The 27,877-nt window shown below is 40.7% G+C and overlaps 2 long non-coding RNA genes across 3 annotated transcripts in view; both read right to left on the bottom strand.

Annotated features, from left to right (window-relative positions):
* The window catches only part of LOC107987108 (uncharacterized), a 675,821-nt gene that overhangs the window by 571,470 nt on the left and 76,474 nt on the right, over positions 1-27,877 (bottom strand). The window lies entirely within an intron of this gene.
* Positions 6,609-24,584, bottom strand: LOC107987109 (uncharacterized). The gene is made up of 3 exons (XR_001746872.2): positions 23,745-24,584; positions 14,487-14,526; positions 6,609-14,304 (listed from the first exon to the last, which is right to left on the bottom strand). It is a non-coding gene; the product is annotated as an uncharacterized LOC107987109 (long non-coding RNA).

Raw genomic sequence — 27,877 nt, 5'->3', positions numbered from 1 at the left:
TCTCCTATGCATGGGAAAGCATGCATAGAAATGGAGATAGAGAAAAAGAAAACGAGGAAAGATATGGAACAATTATGCTGCATCTGTTTCTTACACATCAGCGGGGGGCACTTTTCCCTAAATCAGTTGAACAGTCAGTGATGTGAAAGATGAGAGCTCATTAGGCAGCCTGCAGACAGCACCTGAAATGGTTTGTCAAACAGTCGTGCCTCTGAAAATCAACAATGAACCAGGAGGTGATGCTTCATTTATAGGGGGAAAGGCAAAAGCAATCAAGACCCAAAGACAGGGCAACTGGGCTCTATGTAGGCTCATTATGCTCAGCTCTGCCAAAAAAAAAATGACAAAGAAGCCGAATGCCAGGGTAGGAAACAAAAATTAAGGCAGCAACAGGGAAGGAAGGGACAAATATTTCTTGAATGCTTAGCAGTTGCCCCATACTGCATATCATCTCTTTTTCATTTACAGCAACCCGGTACAGTGGTATTGCTTCCACTCTTCAAGATAATGAAACAAAGAATAATTTGCTCAAAGTCACAGTGTACTAGATTCAAAAACATGTATGTCCAACTGCAAACAGAAGTCTCTTGAACACAGCAAAGCTGTTTTCCAGAAAGTACAAAATATTAAGGATAATGTCTATCAATGAAAGAGACTAAGAAAGAGTTTTAGGAGCTCAGTAGAGAAAATAGCTGCAGACCTGTGACTTAAGAGCTGATTACGGATTCAGCTTATACTTCTCACATGTCAGGAAATGGAGGATCCACAGTTCAAGCAGGAATAAAGAGGAGTGGGGGAGTAAGTCTTTGTGGACAGCATCTTTGTATGGCTTTCTTTCTCTACAATAGGGATTTTGCTGAGGTACTGGTCCAAACGTTCTTGGGTAGTTCCTACAAATGCTTACCAAGTCAAGTACCCCAGCTTACATGGAGAACACTGCATGTGTCCTTCCAGACCAGGAGCCATTTGTCAGACTGTGTGAATTATCTACTAGAGGAACTTAGGGTTCTCTATTGAACAGAAAAGGTTGAAAGTAAGAAATATTGCTTAAACAAGGTAAGTCTCGGATCTCCTTTTGACCTCAGTTTATAATTTAACATGCAGCCAGGAAAAAGGCTTTTATTCACAAATATTTAATGACCCTCTACTATGTGCTGAGCATTAGGTTTTATTTCACTCATCTACTTATTTTCAGTCTTAGAGAAATCCATAGAAACCCTCAGGTCATCTTACCCAACTATCATGTGAAAAGAAAGCCCACCCTTAAATTCAAGTCAACAAATATTTCCTAAGAAGTCAAGATACCATGGAACCAAGAAGCACAAAGCATGGCTCCTGTTCTCTAAAAGGTTTAAGATTATACAGCATGCAAATGTAAGTCCCCTTGCTCATTCATAAGAGAAGCTGGTATCAGCTCAGCTTCTGCCTTGCCTAGCATTTCCACTACCAGAACTTCCATCTGAAGTCAAGGTCTCCTTCAGTTTCCAGTATAACAAATGAAAAAGCAAAAACTAGTCTGGCTCATGGACTCTTCAGAATCCTTATTGGCTTCATGATCCTCCTTTACAAACCATAGCAGCAGGTCATGTCAAACCTTCTTCCAAGTACCAACGAACAGATGTAACAAAGGTTAGAGAGGTTAAAATCCCCTCCCCACCACACCACACCATAACAGCACATATTTTCCAGAATCCTCCCAGCATTATGATAGTCAAGTATGAAAAGCATGAGGCATATTTTCAGGAGGGACAAAAGGAACACAGAGAGCCCTTAGCTCTGCTGTAGAGATATCTGTTCTCAATTGTATCATCTCATGATCTTAGCTTCTTCTGAGGGTTCTTGGCATCTAGTAATGAATTGCACCATTACAAGAGCCCTGGAAAAGTCTAGACTAAACCAAAGAATATACTGAAGAATGCTACCAAAGTGGTATTATGATTGTGGAAGTATCACTTGAATCTACATGTCCTTCCCCAATATCCAGCATTACTAGATTAGACAGCACTACATTTACATACATTATTTTTTAATGCTGAAAAGAAAGAGATTTGGACAGTATGGTTACGAGTATTTCAAGGTTAATGAGAATGTAGGTCATTAGGTGGCCCATCCATAGACAAGAAAACAGAAGATGCTTGAGTGTTGCAGCAATAACTAACTGGAGAAGAACATGAAGAGAAACGCTGATCACTGCAGTTTTGTGCTCAGACCCCAACTAAACCCCCCGTACACTTTGCTCCAGTTCCCATTCAGGACCCACCTTAGTAATCCTCCCTCAACAACCAGCCCTGCCCAGCTGTCGGCTCAAAGTCCTCCACCTGCCCAGACTGTAACCAGTGGAGCAATTCAGCAACTTCAACTCTAAGGTCTAGAAACAGGGCCCGTTTCTTCAAGAGGGGCCTAGACATCCATGTGAATTCCATATCTTAACCTACCTAACTGAAGGACCTTGGGTTATTTAACCTCTCTATTCCTCAGTTCCTGCATCTTTAAAATGAGAATTGATCCCTATTGGGGGAACCCGCCCCCAATATTTCAATGTAGGTTATTTCTATTTTCCATAAGTGTCAGCCAGCTGAGAAATAAAAAGAAAGAGTACAAAGAGAGGAATTTTATAGCTGGGCCGCCAGGGGTGACATCACATATGAGTAGGACCATAATGCCCTCCTGAGTCTCAGACCAGCAAGTTTTTATTAAGGGTTTCAAAAGGAGAGAGGGTGTAAGAACAAGGAGTAGGTACAAAGATCACATGCTTCAAAGGGCAAAGAGCAGAACTACTAATAAGGGTCTAACAAAGATCACATGCTTCTGAGGGAACAGGACAAAGGGAAAAAGCAGAACCACTGATAAGGGTCCAACAAAGATCACAGGGCAAAGGGCAAAAACAGAACCACTGATAAGGGTCTATGTGCAGTGGTGAATGTATTTTCTTGATAAACATCTTAAACAACAGAAAACAGGGTTTGAGAGCAGAGAACTGGTCTGACCACAAATTTACCAGGGCAGAGTTTCCCAACCCTAGTAAGCCTGAGGGTACTGCAGGAGACCAGGGCGTATCTCAGTCCTTATCTCAACCACATAAGACAGACATTCCCAGAATGGCCGTTTATAGACCTACCCCCAGGGATGCATTCCTTTCCCAGTGTATTAATATTAATATTCCTTGCTAGGAAAAGAATTTAGCGATATCTCTCCTACTTGCACATCCATTTATAGGCTCTCTGCAAGAATAAAAATATGGCTCTTTTTGCCCAATCCCACAGGCAGTCACACCTTATGGTTGTCTTTTCCCTTCTTCCCTAAAAATTGCTGTTGTTCTGTTCTTTTTCAAGGTGCACTGATTTCATATTGTTCAAACACACGTTTTACAATCAATTTGTACAGTTAACACAATTATCACAGTGGTCCTGATGTGACATACATCCTCAGCTTACGAAGATAACAGGATTAAGAATTAAAGACAGGCATAAGAAATTATGAAAGTATTATTTGGGAACCGATAAATGTCCATTAAATCTTCACAATTTATGTTCCTCTGCCGTGGCTCCAGCCGGTCCCTCCATTTGGGGTCCCTGACTTCCCGCAACAGATCCCTAGAAGGATTAAATTTGCTAATATATACTAAATGTTTAGAACAAAATTCAGCCCATTTATGAGAAACTTTGTAAGTGCTTGTCATTATAATTATTATTATTATAATTATTTTCCTTCCCACCACCACCATCACTTGTCATAGGCTATATGAGCGGTTTCTGGCTTGATTTCTCTCCTGAGCCTAGATCCTTGCCCAAAATCTCAGCCACCTAACTATGTCCTAGACATGACAAGGCTCTCACTAGCTCCCTTTCCCAGTAAGGTGCAACTTTTCTCTTTATTTGCAACACAGAGTTCTGCCATGAACCAAAATATGCTCTGATATCAAGAATCACACCTGACTGGACCTACTCACCTTCTCAGCTCTCTAGTTTTGGTATATGTAGCTAAAACAAACCCAGTAAGGTCTGGAACCTAGAGGGACCCAGAGGAGAGGCAAGTGACTGAAGGTAACAGGTCCCAGGGCTCTGATCAAGCTGAGTAGTATTTTTTATGGGATATAGGCCTTGGGAAAATACTGAATATATGTATATATGTATTTTTTTCCTAGTATTTATTTTACTTCCCTGGATATATATAATTTTTATTATACATAAAATAATTATTATTATAATGACAAGCACTTACAAAGTTTCTTACAAATGCGCTGAATGCTGTTCTAAACATTTAGCATCTACTAACATATATATATATCTCTCCAGAGAAAGAGTCTGGGTCACATCAATGAGGAAAATCCAGAGAAGCAGTCTCAGGTCTTTGCTACAAGTTTAAGCTAAAGCAATAAGCAAGCAAATAACCAAGAAGTCAGAAACCAACAATATTGGACACAGGTCAAGAAACAAAGTATGAAATGGCCTAAAGCAAGTAGTTCAAGCCAAAGACATGAATGGCATGCCCACAAGGACAGAGATTTTATTTCATTTGTTCCCTTGTATAACCCCATACTAAAAGGTCCTCCAATATTCATGGAATGAACAAATGAATGAATCATCAGATTGTAGAGTTCCTCTTGATATGGTGCTACCTGAATGGTACAGGAAAACCGAGAAGAGGATAAGCCTCAAAATGCTAAGGATTTGAAGAACTAGACACAGATTTTCTAGGGATCAAGCCTGAATATACCTCCAGCCTGGACACTGAACAGCTGGCTTGCTTCTCTGGTCTTCATGGTCTGGGTCCTCTCCTCTGCTATTTGAGCAGAGGAGACTTCCCTCTGTCATTGCACTGATTACACTGCACTGTAATCTTCTACTTCTCTGTCTTCTGGACTGAATGGGACACAGGACCTGGCACATAATAATAATTCAGGAATGTTGTTAAATGACCCTTCCCTAAGGATTCTCCCATAGAGGTGAATAGGCAAAGAACAAGAGAATAATTCAATTTGGTGGTTTAAGTCTTATTTTTGCCTGGACACCAGGGCACTAATTTAGCAAGAGGCAATAAGATAAATTCAGAACTAACTAGAAAATAACCAAAAGAGTTTGACTCTGTATCTCTAGATTGACAAGGATGGCAAGGGAACTTAAAACTGAATTTAAACATTAAAAATAATAACAACAATAATAATAATGGCTGACATGAAGGGTGAATGTAGGGTTATTAGTCGATGAGGTACTGAACCTGAATCAGCAGAGCCACGTGATCGCCACAGAAAATGATGCAGCCCTCAGTTTCAATGTTAGACTAGCACCCAGAACAATGGGGAAACAGCCCTGCTCATCTGTGCACTAGCCAGGCCACATCCTGAGGGCTACCTGCCCTCAGCTCGAGATTCCACACTCTGAGAATGAAAAAAAACAGACATATTCAGTTGAGCATACCGGTAAGGTAAGCAAACTCAAACCTATAACAAAATTAGACCTGTCAAAAACAAAACAAAATAAAACAAAACAAACAAAAAAGCTGTTTGGCCTGGAGATGGTCTGCAGAGGCATAAGAGCTATAGTCAATAGCAAAAGGCCTATTAGACTAGAAACTGAGGCTCAAGGAAGTTAAGTTACTTGATCAAAATCACACCATGACTTGGTGATATATACCTGGGAGTCAAACTCAGGTCTAATTCTAAAACCCAAATTAAGTATAAAATTATTATGCTTGAACTGGAAAGATCTTGATGTCTTAGAAAAACCTGTCTGGGTCTCAAGTCTCCATCTGCACAAGGGCAAAGTTACATAACTTCGAAGCACCAGTGGTGTTTTGAAGATCTCTGCATTGTATGTACATTTAGTGAAGGAAAGAAAACCTGAGTGTCCTTAGAAAATTGACCCCAAACTTTCTCACAGGATCAGGGTGCTGACAACTATATGTTGAAACAGTACCTTTAGCCATCCTAGTCTGAACTGTGTAATAATGGATGTTGGATCAGAGTCACATTTATCAAAGTCCCATCAGGACAATGGCTGGAACCCCTACATTCATTCAACAAATACATTTGAGTATCTGCTCAAGCCAAAGCCGCATGCCATGTACTGGGTGCATAGTGGTTAATAAAATGACATTCTAGTGAAGGAGGCATGCATTGATCAATAAACCACAAATAAGTTGTATGTAATTACAACCTGTGATAAATATAATGAAGGCAAATAACTAGATTTTATAAGAGAAAATAACAGGCAGGTGGGGTTTAGTAAACAATGCAAGCAGTACATAACCCACAGTGTTCTTCTCTCTGGGAAAAGCTGTTTTTTGTTTTGTTTTGTTTTGTTTTGTTTTTTTATTGAGATGAAGTCTTGCTCCATCTCCCAGGCTGGAGTGCAGTGGGTCAATCTCGGCTCACTATAAACTCCACTGCCTGGGTTCAAGTAATTTTCCTGCCTCAGCCTCCCAAGTAGCTGGGAATACAGGTGTGCGCCACCATGCATGGCTAATTTTTTTTTTATTATTATTTTCAGTAGAGACAGGGTTTTGCCATGTTGGCCAGGCTGGTCTCGAACTCCTGACCTCTGGTGATCCGCCTGCCTCGGCCTCCCAAAGTGCTGGGATTACAGGCGTGAGCCACCGCACCTGGCCAGAAAAGCTGTTTTAGAGCAAAGTTTCCACTAAAACCAAAATTGAGAACTTAGAGGCTGAGGCACACCTCCAGTGAGCCCTTCAGTCCTTCAGTAAAAAGGTGGGACAGAAAGAATGATGTGCCTCAATAAAGAGGAGGCACTATCTGAGTATGTGTTACCATAGCAGAATAAGAAATACAAGAGGAGCTGTCTTATGTTGAGCTCCAGAAAGGAAAAAGGAAGAGGAAAGCAGGCAGAAAGGGGCACTGCATATGAGCAGTAGTTACCTTTAACACAGGACACAACCCATTAGTGGCAGTAGCAGTAGAAATGACAACTTATGTCCACACAATGACTTGTACATGGAAGTTCATAGCAAGTTTATTCATAATATCCCAAAATGGGAAAAACCAAAATGTTCAACAGGTGAATGAATAATTATGGTATATTTGTGAAATGGAATAGTCATCAGCAATAAGCAGGAATGCATTACTAATACTCTCGATGGTATTGGTGAATCTCACAGATGTGCAAAGTGAAAGACCCAGACATGAAAAGACACATATCATATGATTCCATTTATATGAAATGCTAGCAAGACAAAACTAATCTGTAGAGATAGTAAATCAGCATTGGTCCGGAATGGGGGAGTAGGTACCAGAGGCAGGGGGAAGAGAATGAAAAGAAAGACACATTGAGAGAATGTTCTAAGGAAATGGGAATCTTCTATAACTCTATTGGAGTGAGAGTTACATGGGTTCACAACCTGTACATTAGCATGCATAAATGTTGATGTATGCAAATCATACCTCAATAAAACTGGTTTTAAAATCTCCTCATTCTTGCAATTTTGTCCAATATTCTTTCAGAAGCTGAGACAAGTTTCTTAGAAGGAAGGAGGTCAACACCATGACAGTGCTGTACCCCAAATCACCTCACTATCCTGGTATTTAATTAATGTCTGGTGAATGTCAGCCCTTCCTGGCATCCAGTCCACTGCCTGAGAATTGAGGACATCATGTTCTCCCCTGACAAGGAGCAGCCAGCCCCAGCACGTCTACCACTTCTTTCAGAAGGCCTGACAGGCACTTACTCGTGCAGACCCACGCTGCCAGACTAGTGCATCCCTGGTGGTCATTCAAAGTAGGACCTCTTTGGGGAATGTGTATTTATTATAAAGCCAAGACTTCTACCCTATGAAACTCATTATTATTTTGTTGTTGTTGTTACTTAGCAAATGTTGTTGAGGACATAGTTCACTACTTTATCCTGTCTCTGGTAAAAAGAAACGTAAGAGAAATTCTTCTCTGGTCTTAGTCCCAGGATTAAGTATGCTAAACTGTTTTTCACTTATGGATACTATTATTGTTTTTGCCTTAACTGCTCAGAAATTAAATGTGTACCCCATCTCTAGGAAATGTGCACACATTTTATTCATTAACCTTATCCAAGTTTTGAACTTATTTCTCTGTTATTATTTTCTTTTTGTCCTCATTTCCTCAATTGCTTTTTTAAATACAGATTTTATTTTTTTAGAGTACTTTTAGGTTCACAGCAAATTTGAGCAGAAAGTACAGTTCCCATATTCTCCTCTTCCCTGCCCCCAGCCACACTGTCTCTCCCGCTATTAATATCACACACCAGAATGATATTATACATTTGTCACATTCCATGAACCTACATTGATACATCCTTTTCATCCCAAATCCATCATTTACATTAGGGTTGACTCTTGGTGTTATATGCTCTATGGGTTTTGATATGTGTATAATCACTTGTATCTACCATTATAGTATCATACAGAGTAGCTCACTGACCAAAAAATCATCTGTGCTCTGCCCATTCATTCCTCCCATCTCCCAAATCTCTGGCAGCCACTGATCTTTTTACTGTCTCCGGAGTTTTGTCTGTTCCAGAATGTCATACAGTTGTAGTCACACAGTATGTAGCATTTTCAGATTGATCTTACACTTAGTAATATGCATTTAAGGTTCTTCTATGGTTTGATAGTTTATTTCTTTTTAACACTGAATAATATTCCACTGTCTGGATACACCAGTTTATTTATACATTCACTAACTGCTTGGTTGCTTTCAAGTTTTGACAATTATGAATAAAACTGTGTTAAATATCTGTGTACAGGTTATTATGTGAACATAAGTTTTTTTTTCAGTTTTTTAAAAATTTAATTTTTATTTTTAGTTCTGGGGTACATGCGCAGGATGTGCAGGTTTGTTACACAGGTAAGTTTTTAATTCCTTTTGGTAAATACCAAGAAGCACAACTGCTAGATTGTAGGGTAAATATATGTTTAATTTGTAAAAAAAACTGCAAAAATGTCTCCCAAAGTGGCTGATATGGTTTGGCTGTGTCCCTACTCAAAATCTCATCTTGAATTGTAATAATCCCCAAGTGTCAAGGGGATTATTACAACAGTATGGTGGTTTTCCCCATACTGTTCTTGTGATAGTGAGTGAGTTCTCATAAGATCTGGTAGTTTTATAAGGGGCTTCCCCCTTCACTTGGCTATTATTCTCTCATTCTGTCTCCTGCCACACTATGAAAAGGTGCCTTCTGCCATGATTGTAAGTTTCCTGAGGGCTCCTCAGCTATGCGGAACAGTGAGTCAAACCTCTTTTCTTGGCCAGGCGCAGTGGCTCACGCCTGTAATCCCAGCACTTTGGGAGGCTGAGGCAGGTAGATCATTTGAGGTCAGGAGTTCTAGACCAGCCTGACCAACATGGTGAAACCCCATCTCTACTAAAAATACAAAAAAATTAGCCGGGCGTGGTGGTGGCGCATCTGTAATCCCAGCTACTTGGGAGGCTGAGGCAAGAGAATTGCTTGAACCCAGGAGGCAGGGGTTGAAGTGAGCTGAGAGGGCGCCACTGCACTCCAGCCTGGGCAACAGAGCAAGACTCTGTCTCAAAAAAGAAAAAAAAATCCTCTTTTCTTTATAAATTACCTAGTCTCGAGTATGTCTTTATTAGCAACATGACAGCCCACTAATACAGTGGATGTATCATTTTGCACTCGCACCAGCAACTAATGAGAGTTCCTCTTGCTCCACCACTTCCCAGCATTTGGTGGTGTTAGTGGTTTGGATTTTAGTCACCCTAAAAAGTGTGTATCTCATTGTTTTAATTTTCAGTTCCCTAATGACACATAATGTGAGCATCTTTTCATGTGCTTATATGCTTATTCAACATTTGTGTATCTTCTTTGGTGTGATGTCTGTTCAGATCTTTTGCCCATTTTTGTAACTGGGTTGTTTATTTTCTTATTGTTGAATTTTAACAGTACTTTGTATATTTTGAATAACAGTCCTTTATCAGACACATCTCTTGCAAATATTTTCTCTCCGTCTGTGGGCGAGTGCCCTGTCATTCTCAATTACTTTTTAGAAAACTTTTTGTAGTGTATATTTTTAAAAGTCAGTCTGATCCTTTCTGAGACAAATTCATATATTGATAATTTTAAAATAGATTTTAAATATAAAATAGAATAGGGAAGGCTATGCCACAGGTGATTTCTCCTGCTTTGTTGTCTGTTTCACTTTGTTTTAGCTCATTTACTGACTGTCAAAGCTTGAACGAATTCCTTCCTCTTAGGGCCTCAACTTATTCTTCTGTAAAATGAGGTAGGTGGATCAGATCATGCCCAGGGTTCCTTAAAGCTTTCACAGGACACATGCCAACAGTCCAGCCAGTTGAGGGCTCAACCCCAGCTCATCTCGTGGCAACAGAGAGACCTACACCCTGAAAACTTTGAAAAATGGATTCAACGTACTGACATAGGGCATGATTCTCAGTGACTCTCTCTAATCTTCACTAACATCTGTCTGAGCAAAAAACTGGTATTATTTGATTAGCTTTTTGGAGGAATATCTGGGATAGAAATATCCCATGCTAAGCTGTTGGCTGACAATATGGAAAAACCGACATTATTGATTACAAATGAATGTAGGGGAGATTGGGAAAAACAAGGAATTGAAAATATTTTGCAAATCTAAACCTGAAAATGGTTAGGAAAAAAGTCAAATAACAATAAGCATTTAGAGTCCATAGAATCCTAGCACCTCCAGGTATTCTCATAGCCCTTAGCATCACTTAAATTGCAGTGAAGATTCCTTGGAAGCTCAAACTCATTTTCTGTGATTCCCAATCTTACCAGGTATTACTAGCCACACTTCGTTATTTTATTTTGTTGTTGCTGTTGTTGCTTTATGAAGAAACTGAGGCTTAGATACATGAAATAATCTAAGACTGCACAAGTGACAGAAAGAGTGAGGGACCAGATCTTCTAACTTCTGGCCCAGAGCTCTTTCCACCCCACACTCCTGCCCCATGATTGGTTCTATTTTAAACCTTTCTCAGGTAAATATCTCCCTTCTATGCCCATTTCCATTCTTACCCCTTCAATTCCAGCCACTGGCCAGTTTTATAGGGCTTTATGGACATATTTCAGATGACTCCAAGTCAGGAGAGATTTTTAATATCGCACATGTCAGGATGAAGAATTGAAAATAATCCTACAAGGTTGGAATGCAGAGCAGAAGCCAGTATGCTGAAATCCTACAGGCTTAATATAAAAACCTGAACAAGCTATTTGCCACTATATGCTGTGTGCTGTGTGCTGTGTTGTAGCTCCAGGTTTCCTGCTGAGAATGCCTTTCCACCACAGTCTACCTAACCAGGACCTGCAGTTAATCCTGCAAATCCTAGCTGAATTACCTCTCCTCCTGGAAACCTTACTTAGCACACCCAGGCAGAATCATCAAATCTTTCTTGTATCACCTAGAACACACTTCTATTGATGCACTGGCCTCAGATTACTATATAAAATTGTATGTGTCTATGTCTCCCTACTCTGTGAAAACCAAAAGTAGTCACAAGAATCTTGTGTGCATTATAAACTATTTCTTTACATGACTGAAAGTTCCTGGAGAGTAGGGTCTGGGTCCTATTCATGCCCATATCCCCAGGCAGCACCAGGACAAAGTACATAAACATCTGTGCCACACAGTATTCTAGTGAATGAGACAAAGTTTATATACTCTTGGTTCTTACGTTCTAGCAGAGAGAAGCAGATAATATGCATCAAGGTAAGAAAAAAGAACACTTGAGATTGCTGTACTAGGAAAAAAAAAACTAGATGACTTAAGGGACTAGCCTAGGGTTTGTTTGTTTTTTTTTTTTTTTTTTTCCTTTTCTTTTACATTAAAGTTCCAGGATACACGAGCAGAATGTGCAGGTAAGTGTGTGCCGTGGTGGTTTGCTGCACCTATCAACCCGTCACCTAGGTATTAAACCCCATATGCGTCAGTCATTTGTCCTGATGCTCTCCCTCCCCTCATCCCCTTCCCCAACAGGCCCTGGTGTGTGTTGTTTCCCTCCCTGTGTCCATGTGTTCTCATTGTTCAGCTCCTACATATGAGTGAGAACATGCAGTGTTTGGTTTTTCTGTTCCTGTATTAGTTTGCTGAGGATGATGGCTTCCAACTTCATCCATATTCCTGCAAAGGACATGATCTCATTCCCTTTTATGCCTGCATAGTATTTCATGGTGTATATGTACCACATTTTCTTTATCCAGTCTATCATTGATGGGCATTCAGGTTGGTTCCATGTCTTTACTATTGTGAATAGTAGCCAAGGGTTATTTTTAACCAGGGCAAGAAGAGCCTTTGGAAAAAGCAACCTTTGAACTCAGACTTGAATGATGCCTAGGAGCCAGCCATGGGGGGAATCTAGGGAACGACCATTCCAATCAGAAGGGCAGCAGTGCCAAATAAATCATGGAGACAGGAAGAAGCATGACACATTTGAGGGACAGCAATAAACTGCTTATTAGGTTTAGAGTCATTCCTCAATCTTCCATGAGGGTAGGGGTGAAGGATAGAAGAGTATGTGATTAATTTTTCTCGAATGCCTTCCAGATCCCTGGAACTTTACATATGTGATCTCATATAATCCTCACAGCCACAGAGCAGATTTACCCCATTTTACAGATGAGGCCCAGAGAGGAGGGGTGGCAGAAACCAGATCTGAAAGACTCTGCTTTTGTTCTTCCCACCTTGTCACTCTACACCAGTTGCCTCCTCATGCAGTAGAGGAAAGGAGAGAAGAGCACAACATACTCCAATGCTAGGTAAAAAGCCCCAAGTAGCACAGAAATGTGCAGCCTAACAGCTGTTGGTATTTTAGGACATGAAGGAACAGAACCCACCCATCTTTCCAGCTTCTGCCCATCTGTCAATGCCACAGCATACCATAGGCACCTAGCGAAGTCTTTGAAATACATTCTCTGAGCGATATGTTAAGTATCCAATTTGAAAAGAAAACTGGCTATGAAAGCTGAGCTGTGGATAATTCCCTAAGCTCTTTCCCCTTAATTATGGTGCACACAGACAGCCAGTGAAACAAAGACTTAGGCCTTCTGTTGATTCTCTGATGCCTCATCTGAAGTCTAGGTATTTATTTTAATTCAGGACTTGGTTCCTTTTAAAGAAAAATCAGAGTCCCTGAAGAGATTCTCCTGCTAAGATTTCAATCTCCATTTCCTCCGAAATGGATGTCAAAGACAAAATCCCCAGGATCCTTGTGACAGTCCACTTTGGGTTTCTAATTTTGACAAGGAAACCATAATCTGGTGGTTTAACCCCTGAGGATGAATGCAAGAAGGAATGAGAATCAAATGGATGAATCGATCAAATAGAAACAGAGGTCTGCACAAAACAACATTCATGGAAATAAAATCTCCTGAGGCTCTAAGCTAATAGAAGCAGCTGGTGAAGACCACCAAAGACAAGAGAATGAGAAAGGGCTTCCAGTGCGAGAAAGCAGAGTGGCTTCTCAGGGACAATGGAGCAGAAATTAGCATTCCAATGAACCAGCACAAAGGGACCCTGGCCAAGCCTGGGAAGGAGGCCCCTCTCCTCCTGGCCCCTTCTTAAGGTCCATTTGTATCCCTCTGCAGCCTTCCCACAAAATAAGTTGGTTTCCTACACGTTATCTTCTTGCGTATTTTTAATCGAAATATGTTTTCTGCTTCATTTAGCTAGAAATAGAGGGCTCCTCTGCTTGATATTTGGGCAGAATATGGCCCCAACATTGAAATACTCACTTGTTGTCAGAACTGTGCTGTCTCTCTTTCCCTTTCTTTTAATAAAAGTTTGGATTCCACTGAGTGTTCTTCCACTCTTAAGCTCCAAACATTTCAAACACCACAAAAGATATGACAAGATGAAAGGAAGTGTCCACAAATAGACAGCTAGACAACTAGTTAGCAGCTGTCTGCTTTTCTTCAGGGTTTGTCTTTTTTCAATTTTTTTTTTTCTGCAGGGGGGGAAGAAAGTTTATTTTTCATTCTTGAAGAAGCCTGACTACAGACTGACTCTCTCTCTCTCTCCCCTTCCCCAACCCCCTCTCTCCCTCTCTCTCTCTCTCTCCCTCCCTCTTTCCCTCTCCCTCTCTCTCTCTCTCTGTCTCTAACATTGGCCATTTTCCAAGCCTGTTGAGTGTTAGAAGGAGAAAAACACTTACCACGCCATGTGTAACCCTGACCTTTGGAACTCATTGTCCTTCTGGGGCACCGTGTGGAGGGCTGCAGCGGCTAAGTAGAATTGCTCATTCTCCATCTTTTATAGTCCAATGTTTGCAATATAATGAGGTTTTGATGTTCCATCAAGTAAGGGCATTTCTTTAACAAAAGGAACCTGAAACACAGGTTTTTATTTAAAAACCTGCCCAGGCTTTGGAGAGCTGATTTAAATCTATTTTAGATCTGGATCAACTAAGGTTTGATTTGAAGTTATTTCTCTTGTTCCCTAGCAGATCAGGAAAGAACATTATTCTTTAATTCTTGATTTTAATTGGAGCTGCTTCACAAATTTCTCACCTTTCCTCTCTCCAGGTGTTAAGCTCATGAGATGAAGATCCTGTAGCATAAAGACAAACCTTTAGAGTGCAGCTGAGAACACCTCTTTCCTACTAGTCCAGATCCCCCCTCAGATCTCAGGTTGATATCACTGGATGGCCCAAGAGGCAACAAGAGCTTCCCTGTGAGTTAATTTAGGGCTGGAAGTGTGTACCTCTGCTCACACTGGATCACCATTCCCCCCTGCCTTTTAAATACTGCCATGGGACCTTCTGATGTATCTGACCAAACCCTACCCATCTTGCCTATTTTACAAGCTGGGTATAAAATGAACATCACATGTAAAAGCACTTTGCAAACCAAGGGTGATGCAAACTATCACCCTCATGCTCATCACCTCCTCTTCCCCAAGGGTTCCCTTTCTCATGAGAGACAGTATCCTCCACCTGTCCAGAAATTAGATGGTGTCTAAGGATTTTCCTCTCTTAAGCATCACCACAACCCATCCATCTCTACCAACGTCAATTACCTCTCCTAAACACCTCACAAATGTATCCCTGTCCTCTCCCACAGCCTTGATGGTGCCCAGGTCAAGGCCCTCTTCCTCTCCTAACTGATGTTACAGCCTAAAAGTTCCATTTCTCTCTAAATCATCCTCTGCTGCAAGAAAGATTTTTTTAAATTACTGTTATCACCCCCTTTATTACCATCTCCAAGCAATTCCCACCTTCCTCGGCATAAAGTCCAGATATAGTCTAGGTTCTAGGGCCCCTCACAATCCAACCTCTGTCAATTTCCATGGCTTTTGTCCCATCACTCACCCCTCACCCCAACACCAGTCACACTGGCCTTTGCACTCCCAGCCTTCCATGATTTTCTTCAAGGCTAACCCTTTGCTAGGATGTCCTTTCCCTATTCCGGCCTGATCAACTTTTCAGTTCACTCCATGAAAATTTTCCCTGCCCTGATTTTGCTTAATGGTCCTGCCCCTGTTCTCTCACAACTGTAAAAACACCTCTATCACTGCAAACGGCAGTCAGCCACTTACTAAGCCTCATTTGTTGTTCCTCATTCCTGTGCATTCTGGCCAAAGAACAAATTATACATTTCTCTCCCCACAGCCTAACCCAGGACTAGGCATCACTAAATAATTGACAGGTGGATTAACTAATTAATTAAATACTTATCTATGAAATAGGTCAAAGTTTTCAGCAGTCCCGTAAGCTGTGGTAGAAAAAAAAGACCAAGAGGGCCTGTTTGTGAAAGATCGCTTAGGGCAGCTTATCCATCTAGAACTGACTGTATGTGGGACAAAGGATGGTATGTACGATGCCACAGATAAAGAAACATCCTGTGCGTACATGTGCACTTACAAGGCATAGCTTACTCAGTGACAGGGCTAACCCTTCCAAATCATAGAGAAGCAGCTTTTGGGTAGCAGAATGAGACTTGGACTAGAGTCCAAAGTCCTGGGTCCACTGACATGTACTCACTTTGCAACTCTGTGGAAGTTATATAACCTCTCTGATCCTCTTTCATGAAACAGAAAAACACTGCAGATCCTGCCTGTTTCACAAGCTGGATATGAGATTAACATCACATGTAAAAGCACTTTGCAAACCAAGGGTGAGGCTAATTATCATCCTTATTTGATTTAAGGTCAGCTTACCAAATATGCCTGAATTTTTTTAAAGTCTACCCTCTACAGATGCTCTCCTATTAAAATCTTGCATATATATTTACAAGCAAGTAGGACATAATATATAACAATAATTTGAAGTAGTAATTAGTGTGTTTTCCTTCATGTCTGCTGTCATGGAATTTCCTCACTGTTACTCCAAGGACATCCCCTCTTTGCCTAGACACCTAGATGTAAGACACCTACTGCTTGGAGGTAAACGACACACTGAAGAACCAGAAAACCACAAGGGACTATTCTTAAATATTGAGTTCAAAAGCCACTGGGCTAGGTGTAAAACAGAAAGATTGAGAGCAGATATTGAGAGGAGATTGTTTCTGCCACTAGACTAGATAAAAGTCTCCACCGGCCAAGAGAAAGGAAGAGGAAGAATCACATAGACAAAATGAGTGAGATGGAGAGACCACAGGCATGTGCCCCAGCAGGAGCCATTCATCATCATCATCAGCCTGGGAGCAGAAAGAAAACCTGGCCTCCCCATTGTTATCTACTAACAACTACCAATCAATAGAAACCAGTGCATCACCCATGAGATGTTCACCTCCTTTCCGCCTTTAGAGATTTCCTAACCTCTTATACAATCCACCCCATGTCAAAAATGCTTCATTCAATGGCCCAGGTCACTGGTAGGGATACACACACACACACACACACACACACACTCACATACACATACCTGCACACACACACACATGCACCCATGCACTGAGTAGAAAATAGGGCCCAGAAGACACAGGAGTGGTTATCCTCATGTTTGTGGAAGCGAGACTAGATGCAACCAGCAGAAGATCTCCCACCAAGATAACACTGGGACACACACACACACACAACCCTATCTCCTTCCCTTACATATTGTAAAGTGCCTCTCAGTCTTCATACAGAACATCAGAAATTGAACTGATAAATCAAGGATACATTTTTAAGGGGATAAAAAAGCTTGGCTTCTAAACAAATACAGTAGAATATTTACTATGAAGAATTGACTTAGAATAACATCAAGGTCTTACCTGAAGTAGCTTTTGTCATAAAACTTCTTCCTGAGTGCATTGCCCTTATGTATCAAAAGTGTTTGGTACATTTTGCTGAATACTGAGGAGCATTTATGAAGCCAGATGATCTTACGCACAGAATGGCTAAACATTAGCACTCATGAAGTTGGTGGGAGAAAGAAGGGTCACCTTGGATGTGTTACACAGGAAGCGCCAGAGCATTCATGCTTCTGTCCAACAAGAGATCTGCTTATAATTCATACTCTGATCTTTGTGGCAATAAGCAAGCAGGATTCAGTCCGCCCCCACCCCCCCACCCCCCACATCTCCTAGAGCACAGTGGCTGACCCAAGCCTGGAGCATGAAGATGAGGAAAAGGCAGAGGGGGTGGGCAGAATCCTGCAAATAAACAAATAGCCCAATTCCTAAGGGAGTAGTAGAGAAGTTACGGCAGGTTCGTGGCCGCGCAGGTTGGAGACAGGTATACTGCACGTGAGAACAGAAGCCAGCAGGATACACAGAGCTACTGCCCATGTGGAGGTTACTACAGATGATGAAGGAAGAGAAATAACTGCCTAGGCAGCTATAACACAGTGGGATAAGTGCTGGGATAGGGAAAGAAAGGCTTCCTGTAGTGCCTCCTATTACAGAAACACCCTGGAGGGGAACTTGACATAGCCAAGGGTTAAGGGCAGGAGCTAAGAAAGGTTATTGTCAGAAGTAACATTTTTTTAATTGAGAAATAATAATTCTATATATTTATGGGGTGCAATGGGGTGTTTTGATACATTTAAGAATGAGTAAGAGTTTTCTAGGTCAATAGGATGTGATGAGTGAACCAAGCAGTTGGCAGAGTTCTCATACTAGATATTCAAGAGAAAAAGCAAAGCCACAGATCTAGTTAATCTGGCTCTCAGAGCTTTGTAGGTTTGTGGATGTTGTTGTTTTTAATTACTGTCATCAATGAAGGTTTTCACATTAAAATTCTGATTTCTGATTTCTCTTGAAATACCCTCATGGTAACAACTGACTAGAACTGAGTAATGACTACCCCTTTAAATGGGGTCTGATTTACTCCAGTTGCTATCACTTTTTCTTGTGCCTTCCTATGGTCTGAATATATCCCCCCAAGTTCATATGTCAAAACTTAATGGCAATTAATTATTATTAATATGAGAATGGTAAGAGGTGAGGGCCTTTGGGGCCACCAAGTTATGAGGGCAGAGCCCTCATGAATGGGATTAGTGCCCTTATACAAGGAGCCTTAGGGAGCCCCGTTTCTCCTTCTACCATGTGAGGACACTGTTCATCTCTCCTGTCACATGAGTACACAGCAAAAAGTTTCCATCTATGAGGAGCAGACATGAAAGCAGCCGGCCCCTCGATCTTGAACTTCCCAGCCTCCAGAACTATGAGCAATAAACTCCTATTATTTATAAATTACCCAGTCTAAGGTACTTTGTTACAGAGTCCAGAATGGACTAAGACATGCCCCTAGCAGTGAGGCCTTGGTCAGCTCCACTTATCATTAAGCTTGTGCTATTGTCTTTCTAATAGTACAGCTCAAGGAAAAACAAAATGTTTCTTACGTTCATGTTTCTACCAAAAGTGGAAAAAGGTAGGATAGAGCAAGAAAACCATGTTTCACCCACTCTTTTCCCTCACAGTATGGCCGTCCCAGCCCCTATATACCTGAGTGCTGAGTCCTGGCCTAGACCTACATGAGGATAGGAACCACATCTTGTTCGCCTCTACAAATGGCACTTGGTAGAGAAGAAATGAATGCTTTTTGAGTGAATTTTTTTTTTAATGTACAATGTCTACAATCCAAGAAGAACACATTTTATTCAGAGAACTGGAGGGAAAATTAGGATGAATGTAAAGGAATAAGGGGAAACCTAGCATGAGGGTGAAGAGGAGGACAGAGGCCATATCAGGAAAGCCTGGTCAGGCTTTCTAGAGTGGAGACTTTAAGAGCATTGGGAACGTTTTGAAAGGTTTTAAGCAGAGGGAGTGGACTTCCCTAGATTTACATTTAGAAAGAGCTCTCAGCAGCATTGTAAAAGCTGCGTTGGAGGAGCTTTCATTTTGTTCATATTAGAGGCTGGTCTAGGAAGGCATCACAGTGGTCCCGGTGACCACCGGCAAAGGCCTGAACTGGACAGGGATGGAGGCAATGGTGGATAAAGAGTTTTAAGGCATCAGAATCCCCATCAGAAGCTGACCATTTGAGAGTAGAGAAAGGAGAGTACAGGTCAGACTTAGGCCTGGTGGGTGGGGCCATCCATGTCTAGAAAGGAACAAGGCTCCCATGAATGCACTGAAGTGAGATGAGGCCACCTTCCCTAGTCACCTTTTTCTGTTCCATAATCCCTTGCCTTTCTGGAATTTTAACTACTATTTCAGCTAGAGTTTGATAGACAAAAGACTGGGTGCCCAGTTCATTTGAATTTCAGATCAACAAAATTTTCTTTAATATAAGTATGCCTCAGAAAACATTTGGGCATCCTATATTTTTATTTGCTAAATCTGGCAACCCTGGTTTCAGCCCTATTCCTTCCACCAGGGCTTGCCATCGTAACCCACCCTCATCTCCCAGAGTGATGGATTTGGGGAGGCATTTTCTTACCACAGGGTAGAAATCTCCAAACGCTGCTCTAGAGCAACTTTACATACGGAAATTGATGGAGCTGATTTTCTGTAAAACATTCCCGTGGCCCATCAGGTTTTGGTGTAAAGAAAGTATCACCATGCTCCCCCAGTGAAGTTTCCAAAGGAAGCAAGTGAGTACCCCAAAGGCAGAGTCAATGAGCCAAAATCACAGACACAAAAGGAGACAGGAGACATGAGAGAAAGGGCAACTATGAGCAGAGAAGAGAAGAGGAGTGGTGGAACAAAGAAAACCACATCTAACGTGAATCAGGCAGAAGACTCCAAGGTCCGCAGGGAGTCTTAACATACTCACACATGGGTGATGGAATTATCAATAATATTCTATTCCTTCATCTTCACACTTTTTTATATTTCAAAAAGTGCTACACTGAATATGTGCTACTTTTATTTTTAAAAATAGTAAATGTTATTTTAAAAAGGAAAAGCAGGCAGGCTATTCAAAGTTTTTGCTACAAAAATTTTAGGATTTGTCTTCAAACCCATGATAGCAGTTGGCACCATTTGAGTTTATGGGGCAAATGCATTTGTAGCAAAATTGGTGGAGGTGGCTAGGTTGTCTGATGACTGCATAAGCAATAATAAATCCAAAGTATTTGCATCTAGGAGCAGCACCTCCTAACGAAGAAGCTACTGGAACTAAAATGTCTCAAACCTTAGAGAAATCCTGCAACATGGCACATCTTTTTAGCAGAGCTTTCACAATGTGATGCCTCCATGCACCCAAAGTGTAGACCCAGAAAAGGAAAATATAAAATGATTTTTTTTTTTTTGGTTACAATGCTTTTTTCCCCCACACGTGAATTCCAATGGGTGAAAGCTACTCTCTCTAGGGAGGAGGGGGGAAGAGGTAATCATGACAAATTATCCTTTTTGCAAGTTATCATCCTCTTGCTCTGTCTCTGTCAAATTGTTCCTCCAACACAGCAGCCTGCAAGCCCTGCTCAGCCTTCCCCTTCGAGTGCTATTTATACCTTTTGGATCAAACCAGCACTTTTGCATATCTCAGCCTTTTCAGGGGCTGTGATGGTGAACTGTACCATTTTCAGTCATTCTCATCAGAGTCACTCGTCATCATGTCCCTGAATATCTGTAAGGACAATGCATTCCACAATCACTTCAATCTAAATCTGTCGATAATTATGATAGAAGGGGGATAGTCTAAGTTTCACCTGTGAAGGAATGGGTCATTTTTCAAACCTACACGTTGCTTCCAATTATCTGTAAGCAGAAACACAACCTTGATCTGCAAAGAAGTGGTTGTGAGCCTCTTTTTTGGTAATCCTCCCAGGAAACAAATCACTATTTCTCCTAAACAAAGACTGTATTTTTCTCCTTAAGCAATTTTCTTTCCTTCATGCTGTTTGTTAGGTATTGGCTTATTTTATTGAAGAGAACACTCATCGAAAAGAAACTCAATATCCAAGGTGTTGGAGCAAAGAAAGGAGGTAAAAGAAGGGAAGGAAAGGAAAGAGTGCTACAAAGGAGGGAGAGAGGAGATGGGTGGAAAGTATGACATTAAAGAGATGATGATGCTTGTCCTGGAACAATCAGCTTAGCAGAACGTTGCAGCTGCTTCTTTCCAACTATTTTTCTGGATGGGAAGTAAGTTCGAATGGCTGCAGAATTTTTTTTTTTTTTTTTTTTTTTTTGAGACAGAGTCTCGCTCTGTCACCCAGGCTGGAGTGCAGTGACGGGATCTCGGCTCACTGCAAGCTCCGCCTCCCGGGTTCACGCCATTCTCCTGTCTCAGCCTCCCAAGTAGCTGGGACTACAGGCGCCCGCCACTACGCCCGGCTAATTTTTTGTATTTTTAGTAGAGACGGGGTTTCACTGTTTTAGCCGGGATGGTCTCGATCTCCTGACCTCGTGATCTGCCCGCCTCGGCCTCCCAAAGTGCTGGGATTACAGGCGTGAGCCACCGCGCCCGGCCTGGCTGCAGAATTTTTAAGCTTCCCCGTGTTGGTTTACAAACTTCCCTTACCACAGACTCATTTCTCCAACCACATTTCCCTCTTTCTTTAGTCAACATCCTAGAAGTTTATCTAAAGTACTCTAAATTACTAGATATAAATAGACTCAAAACAAATTATTAATGCTACAAAATCAGGAAGTTTAAAACTGAAAATGATACTTCTGTAAAACTCAAAGGGAGTAATAAGGGGTAGAAGGATAGGAGTTTTTTTTAACCCCAAGGCTACTTTTTCCAACCCATCAAGAGTCCACACATTTGGAAAATTCAAGAAAATGTATGGTATTTACTAGAAACTTGTGGGTTTCTAAACAATCAAGCAGGCTGTGTTTCACCCATCGTCCCCAGTGAAGGTTTGGGAAAATATATAGGAAGGAGCTTCACACTGGCCAGCATTTCTCTTAACCCTTGAACAAGGAAACCACTGAGTAGCCAGATTGTGTCTCCATGACCTCAAGGGAAAATTAGCTTTCCCATTTAATTTCTACCCAGTAAGTGAGAGTACAAAGAGTACAGGATGTGGAATCAGGGGACCTTGATCAAGTCTTGGCTATTTGTAGATATGGAATAAGTCTCAGTTTTCATACCCTTAAAATTAGAATAATAACTAAAAATCTGTGAGCATTTAATAACATATAGATTTTTTAAAATACTAGATAAATGATAGAGCTCTAAGTGTTTTTTTTTATCAGAACCAACTATCCTGGCTGAAAGGGAGGATCAGTCCCCACATCATCCTCATCATTTGGCTGTGGCATTTCCTTCCAAAAATTAGCCGAAGAGGTTTCTATTTACCCTCTGAGCATGCTCAAGCTCTGTAAAAGGGCAAAATGAAAGTTAAAGAGATGACCCTTGCCTCCCTGATTAAAATATGTCTCTAGACCAAAATGCTCCATCTAAAACTAAATTAGAGGTATTTTCTGCATGTTTCTTACAATGGGAACAAGGTGATTTTAAAATCCAGACAGGAAAGCAAGATGGAAACAAATTAGCTTGCTCTAATAATGATAATAATAGCAAACTTATATGGAACGTTTTCTATTTAACTCTCACTCTAGTCCTATGATATAGGTACTTTTAGTACCCTATTGTACAGATGAGGAAGCTGAGGTAGAAGGCATGGAAGCAACCTATGCCCAAGGTCTCATAGTGAGTAAATGGCAGTATGGCTGGATTCTGATTAACTTGAGCATGCAATCTAGAATCAAGGGTGATACAGGGCTGGCTGGCAATGCAGGGAACAGACACATCTTACTTGCTCTGTGACCTAGACTTTATCTCTCAGAACTTCATTTTTACATCCTTAAAATGAGATAATATTCTTCCCAACAAGTTTATATAAGGATTGAAGATAACATTTATAAATCATAGAACACATAATAGTTGTCTAAGAAATGTAACTAAAAATAATTTTGTTGCTGTTTCTGCTACTATATCTCTATCATGCTTGTTATAAAGACAAAAGTTCTTCGTGTGTGAATCTTGTTCTTTGACCATTGGAGTCACTGTGCTGTAGGTTGTTACCATTATCTGATTGAGACCTATAAAGAAGGCTGCTCATTCATGGCTAAGTATAGGGATATCCCCAAAGATGAAGCCACCTGTAGAAGAAAGTTGTTCCTCAGGAAAGAAATGAGAACTATGACGGTGGGTTCTAGGTAGGCAGGAGACAGAGTTTCACTTCTCTCTCTGGATCTAATGTTAAGAGGTAGAGATGTCTGCAGCTGCTCTCCTGAAAGGTGGATGATAAAAGGGTGTCCTGTCTGCAAAGGGAGAGAGAAAGAAAGGAAGGCAGAAACTCCTATGGGTACTTTAAGCTAGAAATGTGTAGCTTAAATGAAGATCTAAATTCACAAATCCTCTCTTTATTTTCCCCTTTCTGTCTCCATGCAACTGGTGTTGTACAATGCAGCTGGACAAGTGGATGAGTCTTTTACCTAGATACTTACCACAAATGTTAAAGGCAGAAAGTGTTCTTTCGTGCATCATGGTTGCAGCAGTAGTATGTGAGAAGCGCCAGGAGGAGGGTGAAGCTTGGAAAGAAAGGCTGGGATTTCTTAATTCATTTTTCTTTCCTTTTTAAGAAATTCTTCTTACAGTGCCAACTTGGAGGTTTCTGCATCTTATTTTTATTAGGAATGTGACTTTTCCATATAAGTGCTAATTAGATCCTAGAGCTTTCAGAGGGAATTTGAGATATTTCTTGCTGTTATCCTTGTCCTGGGCAACCCTGATTTGTAGAATCATAAAAGCATCTGGAGAGGAATCAAGAGATGAAGAATCAAAAGTGAGGGAGGTGATCATGGCAGATGGGAGGCAGGAATACATTGTGGCTCTGACTTAGATGAACAGAGTAGCATGTGGAGGCGCCTATCATGAATTTTTACTCCAGAATGACTGCAGGCATAAATCGGGAAACCTGAGAGGACCCACAGATTCCCTGAAGGAAGCGGATTGCTCCTGTAGGACCCAGGAGACAACCCAAATAGTGTGCTTGTATCCATGGCTGAGAGACTGACAGATGGTTCACAACACAGGACTCTGTACAGACAACCCCCAGTACCAAAAAGTGTTCTTTAGTGGACAGCATCATGGTGGTAGCAGTAGTACATGAGAAGCACCAAGTCTACCAGGCTCCGGGCTGGTACTGGGGGTTGTCTATACAGAGTGGCCAGATCCAGAAAAGAGGCAACAATCACTACAGCTCTGGCCACGCTGTGGAACAAAAGAATCTGACAAACAGCCTTCAGCCCTAGACCTTCCCTCTGATAGAGCCTACTCAAATGAGAAGGAACCAGAAACTAACTCTGGTAATATGAAAAAACAAGGTTTCTAATACCTCCAAAAAATCACACTAGTTCACCAGCAACGGACCCAAACCAAGAAGAAATCCCTGATTTACCTGAAATAGAATTCAGGAGGTTAGTTATTAAGCTAATCAGGGAGGCACCAGAGAAAGGTGAAGCCCAGTGTAAGAAAATCCAAAAAATGATACAAGAAGTGAAGGGAGAAATATTCAAGAAAATAGATAGCATAATTGAAAAACAATCAAAACTTCAGGAAACAATGGACACATTATAGAAATGCAAAATGAACTGGAAAGTCTCAGCAATATAGCTGAACAAGTAGAAGAAAGAAATTCAGAGCTCAAAGACAAGGTCTTCAAATTAACCTAATCCAACAAAGACAAAGAAAAAGAATAAGAAAATACGAACAAAGCCTCCAAGAGGTCTGGGATTATGTTAAATGACCAAACCTAAGAATAATTGGTGTTCCTGAGGAAGAGAAATATAAAAGCTTGGAAAACGTATTTGGGGGAACAATCGAGGAAAACTTCCCCAGCCTTGCTAGAGACCTAGACATCCAAATACAAGAAGCACAAAGAGCACCTGGGAAATTCATCAAAAAAAGATCATCGCCTAGCCACATTGTCATCAGGTTATCTAAAGTTAAGATGAAGGAAAGAATCTTAAGAGCTATGAGACAGAAGCACCAAGTAACCTATAAAGGAAAACTTATCAGATTAACGGCCGATTTCTCAGCAGAAACCCTACACGTTAGAGGGGATTGGCGCCCTATATTCAGCCTCCTCAAACAAAACAATTATCAGCCAAGAATTTTGTATCCAGTAAAACTAAGTTTCATATGTGAAGGAAAGATACAGTCTTTTTCAGACAAACAAATGCTAAGAGAATTTGCCACTACCAAGGCACCACTACAAGAACTGCTCAAAGGAGCTCTAAATCTTGAAACAAATCCTGGAGACACATCAAAACAGAACCTCTTTAAAACATAAATCTCACAGGACCTATAAAACAAACATACAATTTAAAAAACAAAAAACCAGGGTATACAGGCAACAAATGGTATGATGAATGGTACCTCACATCTCAATACTAACATTGAATGTAAATGGCCTAAATGCTCCACTTAAAAGATACAGAATTGCAGAATGGAAAAGAAGTCACCAACCAACTATCTGCTGCCTTCAAGAGACTCAGCTAACATATAATGACTTGCACAAACTTAAGGTAAAGGGGTGGAAAAAGATAGTTCATGCAAATGGACACCAAAAGCAAGCAGGAGTAGCTATTCTTAGATAAGATAAACTTTAAAGCAACAGCAGTTAAAAAAGACAAAGAGGGACATTATATAATGATAAAAGGCCTTGTCCAACAATAAACACATATGCACATATCACAATCCTAAACATATATGCACCTAACACTGGAGCTCCCAAATTTATAAAACAGTTACTAATAGACCTAACAAATGAGATAGACAGCAACACAATAACAGTAGGGGACTTCAGTACTCCACTGACAGCACTAGACAGGTCATCAAGACAGAAAGTCAACAAAGAAACAATAGATTTATACTATACCCTGGAACAAATGGACTTAACAGATATATACAGAACAGTCCATCCAACAACCACAGAATATACATTCTATTCAAAAGCACATGGAACTTTCTCCAAGATAGACCATATGATAGGCCACAAAACGAGCCTCAATAAATTTAAGAAAATTGAAATTATATCAAGCACTCTCTCAGACCACAGTGGAGTAAAACTGGAAATCAATTCCAAAAGGAACCTTCAAAAACCATGCAAATACATGGAAATTAAATATCCTGCTCCTGAATGAGCAGGGGGTCAAAATGAAATCAAGATGGAAATTAAAAAATTCTTCAAACTGAGCAACAATAGTGACGAAACCTATCAAAACCTCTGGGACACAGCAAAGGCAGTGCTAAGAAGAAAGTTCATAGCCCTAAATGCCTACATCAAAAAGTCTGAAAGAGCACAAACAGACACAGGTTACACCTTAAGGAACAAGAGAAACAAGAACGAACCAAACCCAAATCCATCAGAAGAAAGGAATAACCAAGATCAGAGCAGAGCTAAATAAAATCTAAACAAAAAAAATAAAAAAGACAAATGAAACAAAAATCTGGTTCTTTGACAAGATAAATAAAATTGATAGACCATTAGCAAGATTAACCAAGAAAAGAAGAGAGGAAATCCAAATAAGCTCAATAAGAAATGAAATAGGGTATATTATAACTGACACCACAGAAATATAAAGGATCATTTAAGGCTACTAAGAACACCTTTATGCACATAAACTAGAAAACCTAGAAGAGATGGATAAATTCCTGGAAAAAAACAACCCTCCTAGCTTAAATCAGTAAGAATTAGATACCCTGAACAGACAAATAACAATCAGTGAGATTGAAATGGTAATTTAATAATTACCAGCAAAAAAAGTTCAGGACCAGATGGGTTCACAACAGAATTCTACCAGACATTCAAAGAAGAATTGGTACCAGTCCTATTGACACTATTCCACAAGACAGAAGAAGAGGGTACCCTCCCTAAATCATTCCATGAAGCCAGTATTACACTAATACCAAAACCAGGAAAGGACATAATCAAAAAAGAAAACTACAGACCAATATCCCCGATGAACATAGATGCTAAAATTCTTTTTTTTTTTTTTTTTTTTTTTTTTTTTTTTTTTTTGAGACGGAGTCTCGCTCTGTTGCCCAGGCTGGAGTGCAGTGGCTCAATCTTGGCTCACTGCAAGCTCCGCCTCCCGAGTTCACGCCATTCTCCTGCCTCAGCCTCCCGAGTAGCTGGGACTACAGGCGCCCGCCACCATGCCCAGCTAATTTTTTGTATTTTTTAGTAGAGGCTGGGTTTCACTGTGTTAGCCAGGATGGTCTCGATCTCCTGACCTCATTATTCGCCCGCCTCTGCCTCCCAAAGTGCTGGGATTACAGGCGTGAGCCACCGCTCCCGGCCAGATGCTAAAATTCTTAACAAAATACTAGCTAAGCAAATCCAACAACATATCAGAAAGATAATCCACCATGATCAAGTAGGTTTCACACCAGGGATGCAGCAATGGTTTAACATATGCAAGTCAATAAATGTCATACATCACATAAACAGAATTAAAAACAAAAATCACATAATCATCTCAATAGATGCAGAAAAAGCATTCAACAAAATCCAGCATCGCTTTATGATTAAAACACTTAGCAAAATCAGCATACAAGTGACATACCTTAATAT

Source organism: Homo sapiens, chromosome 9 (assembly GCF_000001405.40).
Source record: "Homo sapiens chromosome 9, GRCh38.p14 Primary Assembly".
NCBI classification, from domain to species: domain Eukaryota; kingdom Metazoa; phylum Chordata; class Mammalia; order Primates; family Hominidae; genus Homo; species Homo sapiens.
This window is presented reverse-complemented; position numbering and strand designations above follow the sequence as displayed.